Source organism: Homo sapiens, chromosome 3, assembly GCF_000001405.40.
Source record: "Homo sapiens chromosome 3, GRCh38.p14 Primary Assembly".
NCBI lineage: Eukaryota > Metazoa > Chordata > Mammalia > Primates > Hominidae > Homo > Homo sapiens.
In genome coordinates this window covers 166,063,603-166,073,369 of record NC_000003.12, presented here as the reverse complement: position 1 = coordinate 166,073,369, position 9,767 = coordinate 166,063,603, and positions in this window count along the sequence as shown.

Below are 9,767 nucleotides of genomic sequence, written 5' to 3'. Positions count from 1 at the left end.
GAGTAACTTATAAGGAATATAAGTGTAATTGGCTCGTGGTTCACAGGCTGTACAGAAAGCATAGTGGTTGCTGCTTCTCTGGAGGCCTCAGGAGGCTTCCTTTCATAGCAGAAGGCAAAGGTGTGAGGAGGTGTCTCACAGGGTGGGAGTAGGAGCAAGAGAGATAGAACCCATGAGGTGTCACACACTTGTAAACAACCAGATCTTGCAAGAATTCACTCACTATCGTGAGGACAGCACCAAGGGGATGGTGTTAAACCACTCATGAGAAATTCACCCTATGATCCAATAACTTCCCACCATGCCCCACTTCCAACACTGAAGATTACAAATTAACATGGGATTTGGGTGGGACATCCAAACCATGTCATTCCACCTCTGGCCCCCAAAATCTCATGTCCTTCTCACATTGCAAGATGCAATCATGCCTTCTCAATAGTCCCCCGAAGACTTAACTCATTTCAGCATTAGCTCAAAGTCCCAAATCCCAAATCACATCTGGAGATGAATTCCTTCTGCCTATGAGCCTATACAATCAAAACAAGTTATTTACTTTCAACATACAATGAGGGTACCACCATTGGGTAAATATTCTCATTAAAAAAGAGAGAAATGAGCCAAAAGAAAGGGGCAACAGGCCCTACGCAAGTTCAAAACCCAGCAGAGCTGTTATTAAAAGAGCTCCAAAATAACCTCATGTGACTCCATGTTCCAAACCCAGGGCACACTGGTGTGAGGGTTGGGCTCCCAATGCCTGGGCAGATCCATCCCTGTGAGTTTGCAGCGTTCAGTCTCTGAGGCTTCTCTCACATGCTTGTATTGAGTGCCTATGGCTTTTCCAAGTGTAGGGTGAAAGCTGTTGTTGGATCTACCGTTCTGAGATCTAGATAATCGTGGCCTTATTCTCACAGCTTCACTAGGCAGTGCCCCTGTAGGGACTCTGTATGGGAGCTACAACTCCATTTATCACCTCTGCACTGGCCTAATAGAAGTTTTCCTCAAGGGCTCTGCCCCTGTAACTGGCTTCTACCTGGACATCCAGGCTTTTCATACATCCTCTAAAATCTAGGTGGAGGCTCACAAGCCTCAACTCTTGTACACTGTATATCTGCAAGTTTAAAATCACATGGAGTTACCAAGGCTTAGGGCTTGTATTCTCTGAAGCAGTGGCTTGAGCTGTACCTGAGCCACTTTGAGCCATAGCTAGAACTGGAGTAGCCAGGTTGCAGGGAGCAGGGTCCCAAGGCTGCACAAGGTAGCTGGGCCCTGCATCTGACCCAGGAAATAATTCTGCCCTCCTAGGCCTCTGGGTCTGTAATGGGAAGAGCTGTGTCTTAGGTCTCTGAATAGGCCTTTTTCCCATTGTCTTGGCTGTGGTTACCTGCCTCCTTTTTAGCTATGCAAATTTCTGCAGCCTGCTTGAATTCCTCCTCTGGAAATGGGCTTTTCTTTTCTTTCACATGGCCAGGCTGCAAGTTTTCCAAACATTTATGCTCTACTTTCCTTTTTAATATAAGTTCCAACTTATTATTTGCTCCTGCATCTGAGCATAGGTTATTAGAAATAGCCATATCACTTCTTGAACACTTTGCTGCTTTGAAATGTTTTTACTCTTTGGAAGATCTACCATTCTGGAGTCTGGAATGCAGTGTCCCCCTTCTCATGAGTGTTCCCCATATCCCACCTGCTCCAGCTACAGCCACTGCTCAAAGAGCTCCAGGTACAACTAGGGGACACAAGCTGTAAGCCTTAGTGGCTTCCACATGTGCTAACTCTGCAGGCACACAGAATGCAAACATTAAAAAGGCTGGCAGCTTCCCCCTAGATTTCAGAGGATGCACTGGAAAACCTGGTGCACAGGTAGAAACTTGGTGTAAGGGCAGAGGCCCAAAGAGAGACTCTACTAGGGTAGTGCTGAGGGGAAATGTGGGGATGGACACCACACATAAAGCCCTACCCAAGGCACTGCCTAGTAGAGCTGTGAGAAGTGGGCTGCTGTTCTCTAGATCTGAGGATAGTAGACCCACTGGAAGCTTACGCCCTGCACCTGAAAAAGCCACAGGCATTAAACTCCAACCCTTGAGAGCACCATAGGGGTGCACCCTGCAAAGACATGGGGAGGGGCTACCAGAGGCTTTGGGGATCCACTCTTTTCACCAGTGTGCCCTGGATGCAGGATATGGAGTCAAGGAAGATGATTTTGGAGCTTTAAAATGTTAATGTCTTCCCTGTTGGGTTTCAGACTTGTTTGGGGCCTGTAGTCCCTTTCTTTTAGTTGATTTCTTGCTTTTTAAATGGCAATATTTACACAATGCCTGTACCACCATTGTATCTTAGAAGTAAATAACTTGTTTTTTTTTTTTATTTTTATTTTCCAGGCTTATAGGTTGAAAAAACTTGTCTTGAGTCACAGAGATGTAATTGGACTTTGGATTTTTGAGTTGATACTGGAAGGAGTGAAAACTTTAAGGGACTATTGGGAAGGGATAATTGTATTTTGCAATGTGAGAAGAACATGAGATTTGGAGAGTCTGGGAAAGAATGATATGGTTTGGATGTTTGTCACCTTTCCAAATCTTACGTTGAAACATGACCTCCGATGTTGGAACTGGACCTAGTGTGGGGTGTTTTGGTCAAGAAGCAGATCCCTCAAGAACAGCTTGGTGCCTGCCTCATGGTAATGAGTAAGTTCTTGCTCTGTTGTTTCACATGAGAGCTGGTTGTTCAAAGAGCCTGGGACCTCCCTCCTCATCTCTTGCTCCCTCTCTTGCTATGTGACATGGCTGCTCCTGCTTCACCTTCTATCATGAGTAAAAATTCCCTGACACCCTAACAGAAACCAAGCAGACACTGATGCCATGCCTCCTCTATAGCCTGCAGAACAGTGAGACAATTAAACCTCTTATCTTTATAAATTATTCAGTCTCAAGTATTCCTTCATAGCAATGCAAAACAGAGCTAACACACCCCCATTTCCCGCTCCTCCTGGCCCTTGGCTACCATCATTCTACCTTCTATTTCTTTTTTTCTTTTTCTTTCTTTTTTTTTTTTTTTTTTTTTTTTTGAGACGTAGTTTCGCTCTTGTTGCCCAGGCTGGAGTGCAATGGTGCGATCTCGGCTCACCACAACCTCCGCCTCCCAGGTTCAAGTGATTCTCCTGCCTCACCCTCCCTAGTAGATGGGATTACAGGCATGTGCCACCACGCCCAGCTAATTTTGTATTTTTAGTAGAGACCGGGTTTCTCCATATTGGTCAGGCTGGTCTCAAACACCCGACCTCAGGTGATCCGCCTGCCTTGGCCTCCCAAAGTGCTAGGATTGCAGGCGTCAGCCACGGTACCCAGCCTCTACCTTCTATTTCTATAAATTTGACTATTTTAGATATAATGTATGAGTGTAATCATGCATTATTTTTCTCCTGTGAGTGCAATCATGCATTATTTGTTCTAGAATAGTGTCCTCCATGTTCATACATGTTGTTGCATATGGCAGGATGTCTTTATTTTTTAAATCTTCATAATATACTATTCATGTATATACCACATTTTCTTTATTCATTCATCCACTGATAGACATTTAGGTTGTTTCCATATCTTGGCTACTATGACTGATTCAATGAACAGGGCATATATCTTTTTGAAATACTGACTTTAATATTTTGGGATATTCCCAGAGTAGGGATTCTTAGATCTTATGGTAATTCTGTTTTTAACTTTGAGGAAGTTCCGTACTGTTTTCCATAGTGCTGCAATATTTTACATTCCTATCAATAGTGTACAAGTTCCAATTTCTCCACATATTTGCTAGTACAGTTTGGTGTGTTTTGAAATAAACTCATGTATATTCAGTCAACTAATCTTTGGCAAAGGTGAATACACAAGAGGAAAATGATAGTCTTTTCAACAAGCAGTGTTTGGAAAACTGGATATCCACATGCAAAAATGAAATTGGATCTTTATATTATGCCATACACAAAAATAAACTCAAAATGCATTAAATATTTACTGGTATATGCCTGAAACTATAAAACTCCTTAAGGAAAATTCTAGGGAAAAGCTTAATGCCATTGTTCTAGGCAATTATTTCTTGGATATGACATCAAAAACACAAGCAACAAAGGGAAAAATATATATGTGGGACTGCATCAAACTGAAGAGTTTCTGCACAGCAAATAATCAATATAGAGAAAAGGCAACCTAAAGAATAGGAAAAAAAGATTTGCACACTATGGATCTTTTTTAAAATTATTTATTTTTATTTATTTTTTTTGAGACGGAGTCTCACTCTGTCGCCCAGACTGGAGTGTAGTGGCGCGATCTTGGCTCACTGCAAGCCCCGCCTCCTGGCTTCCCGCCGTTCTCCTGCGTCAGCCTTCCGAGTAGCTGGAACTACAGCCGCCCACCACCTCGCCCGGCTAATTTCTCTCTCTCTTTTTTTTTTTTTTTTGTAGAAATGAGGTTTCACCGTGTTAGCCGGGATGGTCTCAATATCCTGACCTTGTGATTCACCCGCCTCGGCCTCCCAAAGTGCTGGGATTACAGGCGTAAGCCACTGCACCAGGCCTCACTATGGATCTTTTAAGGGTTCAATAAAGATATATATACATTACTCCTACAACTCAATTGCAATGTAAGAGCCCAATTTAAAAACTAGGCAGAGGCCTTGAATAGACATTTCTTCAATTGAGGGAGCTCAACACGCGCTTTTAAAATAAAAGTAAAACATATGTTTTAATATCACTGGACAAATGATTCTCATGACAAAAAGTATTCTTGGCATTTACATAAAACTATACATGAGTAAAAAGAAGCAACACAATACTTTACCCAGGGTTTTATTTTCAAATGGGTTAAAAATAATTGCTAACCTGTACTATGCATTTTATACAACGTGCTATTTGAAAAATTTTACATCTTTCAATATAACATATATACTATATAATGTAACAAGATAGACATAATATAACAAAAGAAAAATAACATTAGCTTATGGTTAGAGAGAGACACATGGTAAGTGAAGGCACCAGGATACAAAACCATGTAGACTGTGTTAATAAACCTTGCCCCTCATCACAAACTACACAAAACAATACAGCTGCTTTTTGGTGCATGGGCCTCTGAAAACTACTTCAAAGTCAGCTTTGCATATCAATCCCTTAAAATACCCCATGGAATGAAAGGTTCTGTGGTCAAGCATATTTGGGATCCTTCAGATTTTATTTCCCACAGAACTTTGGAATGTCAAAGAAACCAGCATATGAACAGGACTCTGAAAAATCCTTAAGTAAAGGAATACCTTTGCATGTGCTTATATCCACATTTTCCAAATGTTGGTCAACAGAACCCCTGGAATAGTAACTATCAACCTTCTGGAAAATTTGCCACAACTTCCATGAATGCACATTGGGGTATTCTTATGCATAAAGGCCTGAGAAAATATTCTGGTGAAAAATATAATTTGAATAGTGGTTTATAATTTTGATGATCTTCAAAAAAATTATCCTCATTCCAAACCTGAGAGGAAAATATTCTTTTGCCTTTTTATCAGTGAGACAATAATCTCAAGAAAATTAAGTGACACAACCATGATTCCACAGGCTGTATACCTGCTCATTCCTCCTATAACTGTAAGGGGCAGTCTATCAATCATAGTATTATTATACTTCTTATTTATCAAATATGAAGGATTTTTTCTTTTTTAACCAAAACTCTGTTTTATAGAAGTGTTGACATTTTGAAGCTGCTCTAATTCACTCCCAGTTGCTGCATCAGTGCCAGTTTCTCCAATTAGTCTGACAACACATGTACTCTCAGTAGTCAAGTTGTCTTAGAATCATTGATCCCAAGACCAACAGATAAGTACTGCTGATCTTTAAACCAGTGATCAGAATGGCTTTCCTAATTATAGTTGTTCTCTTTCCTTTTCATCTGTATGACACAAACATTCTTAACAGACTCGAATCATCTGCCTAGAAGCTGTTGTCATTACTCATTAGAATTTCACATGAGAAAGGGTAAACAAGTCTCCTGGTTTCCATCTTTAGACTAAAAAGTCTTAGGAATAATTTCTTTTGTAACTTGGCTGAATTTAAAATTGTTTCTTCCACTGTACTTGTTAGTTCACAGTGTACTTTTATTAAAAAGAAAATTAAAATTATTTACTAGAAGTTTATTTTATACAAGTTTACTAAATATATTTTCATTCCATACATCATAACACAGTCACTTAGAAATGATGATAATTTGACAATTAAATTAATCTGCCAACGGGTTTGTAATGCTGCTGAGTGCATTATTGCAATACAATTTTCTGTAGTTCCAAGTAATTAAAGATTGAACAAATGTGGGCTAAGTACAGTATTTTTGGTCTGTTATTTACCCAGAGTTAATTATTTAATTATACATATTATTAGATTACTAGGTAGGTTAAAACTCAAGCTCCATGAGTAGCTTTCTCAAGATTAAGATAATTGAAGCCTATATGTTCTCAGATATTTAGTTATTTATTTATATAATCAGCACGTTATTATAATATTTCTCTCTCTTGTTGCCTGACTTTTGATCTTTTTAGTGCTTCTTCACACCTCTAATAAAGGATGAACAAAGAAATACTAAACTTAGATTAGTCTACTTGTTAGTCATTGGACCTGAGTCAGGAAAGTTCTACTGGAAACCCGTAGCATAAAAATGACAGCAATTTTTTTTTTTTGTAATCTCTTGGTCAGAGGAAAGCTCAATTTTTAAACCATACTTTAGTTTTATGAATTATGTTTTTATGAATTTTAACTAGTTATATTCCCTGTATTTCAGTGTATATTAATTAATTTTTATTTCCATAACTATGTTTTAAAAATTTTATCTCCCAGAAAGAATGCCATACTATGGAATTTGAAATATATTAAGTTCCATATAAATATGGGGTCAGACTAGTGCTCCTTTTTTATGCCCTACACTATTTTCTGTGAATATATTGGTAAAAATTTTTACAACTTAAATCCACACTGGAATCTAAATAAAATAGTTAACAATTTTCACACATATATTGAAGGTGTTTCATGAAAGTACTGTGATCAGAAATACTCTAGTTTAAAAAACTTAATTATTGACATGGGCCTTCTTCACTCTGGTTCACAAAAGCTTGCGTAAGACATCTAGGAACAGGGGAAGATATTTATTCTACTGGCATATGCCCCTACCCTCAGCTCTTGCTTGATCAAAGCCTCTCATGCATTGTCCCCACAGCTAGAATAATCAACCTCTATGCCTTACAAGACTTCAGAGCTACATCTTGCCCATTCAATCAAACATGAAAGACTTTATTTCTACATGTATTCAAAGATTATAGAATAGGGCTCAATAAAATAAGCAATTTCCTAATATAAATGCAAGGAACAGTGCATATATTTCTTAGCCATATAATTAAATAATTGCCACCTGACTAAGAGCAACTGGGGTAAACACTACCCTTTGTGTAGCCAGATACCACAAAAGAGATAAGGTTTGAGAAAACCCTATTTCAGTTGAGCAGAGGCTCAGTAGTTAACTAACTATATACCAGACACTAAGGGCATAAGGTATCATCTTGCAGCCACTTTCAACTTTTATTTTTGGAAATAATTCTTCCTTTACTCACATAAACAGTAAATAAAGTCAAGAAAAAATGTCGGCCGGGCACGGTGGCTCACGCCTGTAATCCCAGCACTTTGGGAGGCCAAGGTGGGCGAATCATAAGGTGAGGAGATCGAGACCATCCTGGCTAACACGGTGAAACCCTGTCCCTACTAAAAATAAAAAAAAAAAAGAAATAAAAAAAAAATTAGCTGGGCGTGGTGGCGGGCTGCTCCGCTGCTCCGGAGGCTGAGGCAGGAGAATGGCGTGAACCTGGGAGGCAGAGCTTGCAGTGAGCTGAGATGGCGCCACTACACTCCAGCCTGGGCGACACAGTGAGATTCCGTCTCAAAAAAAAAAAAAAAAAAAAATCAAGGCACATTTATTTAAAAATGACAAGTTTGGCTAGAATTCATCTTTATGAAACATTCTAAACACATTAAAAATAAGCAAACACATATACTATTAGTCTACGGATAAAAAATAACTCCCTTCTATCTCAGAATTTCCTGTATCTATATCTATAAAATCTATACCTGCAGAAATTACATAGTGCACCACTACCTCTCTTTTCTGACCTAAATCGAAAAGAAGATAGTATTTTTTTTCTATTACTCAAGAATAAGAGGTATCAAGAAAACTTAGTTTAGGACCCTGTTTCTACAAGTAAATTTTCAGAAGTGTAATAATAATGAAAGGTTTAATGAAGCAGTCTGCAGGTAGGATTTTGTTTTTTGTTTTTAGGAGAAAGAAGACTTAAAATTATTTTGGAAATATACATTTCAAATATAATTGCAATGTTTTATCTCTAAAGCTGCACCCTACAAACATTGTAATGTTGATTAATAGTCACTCAATGGTAAACAGTTAATTAAACCAGTTGTCACTGCCAGGTGCCTTAGTAGAAGATACATGCCCTCTGAAGCAAAAGTAGTTGTTTTGGTTTTTGTTTGTGCCAAAATATATAAAATATAAGATTCCATATAAAAATCCAGATTTTCCACTTTTCTTGACAAATAAGAGTATTTGGCAATGGCAATACCGAGCCTTCATTGCCATAGGCAGCCATCTGTTTGAATTGACTGCTGTGTCCCCTTAGCTGAATCACACACACTCTCTACTCACAATCCTTCCCCCATGTCTCGGCATATTTTGTTCATTACAAGATCCAACTAATTTGAATTTCCTATCTTTGCTCTATTTTACCAGAGCATATTTTCATGACAAATATGTACACATTAGTTAAATCACAGTTCTTGTTTTTACGATATTGCGATAGAGCTCCAATTCATAGAAATAGATCAATAGTTTAAGTGGTTTACTGAAAAATAAACTCCTGAAGAATTTTTAAAGCAAAAGTTTTGTTAAGCAAGAACTTCTGGGAATTTTTTTTAACAAGAATTTGGTAAGAATGTTAGGTCAATTAATGCTGAAAAGAATGGTATTACCTTTGATGGATTTGTATAAAGAAAGTTAATGAAGGTAACAGTAGTTAATAACTGTATGGTGAGTCTTAAATCCCATGTACTCCTCAGGTTGAACATTGACATGAGAAAACCTGATTTACAGTTTTAAAGTGAAATGTTCCCTAAATTAACAGGCTTCATCACACTATTCAGGAAATTGGCCATGTTGATATGATAGGTTATATGTGATTTTGCTTAATTAGAATTTTCTGCAGTTTGCAAAATTTTACAAGTACGTGTTTATTATATGAAATAAACATTTTATTTTTTATTTTTTTTTAGAGACGGAGTCTCGCTCTGTCGCCCAGGCTGGAGTGCAGTGGCGCTATGTCGGCTCACTGCAAACTCCACCTCCCGGGTTCACACCATTCTCCTGCCTCAGCCTCCCAGGTAGCTGGGACTACAGGCGCCCGCCACCATACCCAGCTAATTTTTGTATTTTTAGTAGAGAGGGGGGTTTCACCGTGTTAGCCAGGATGGTCTCGATCTCCTGACCTCGTGATCCGCCCACCTCGGCCTCCCAAAGTGCTGGGATTACAGGCGTGAGCCACCGCGCCCAGCCTGAAATAAACATTTTAAAATTGTATCATTATATACCATATGTTGGAACATTCTTGTATAGTTACCTAACCAAATACTATCATCTATAAAGGCAGTGGTGCTTGCTTCATATTTGATTTTTGAAATTAGGTAA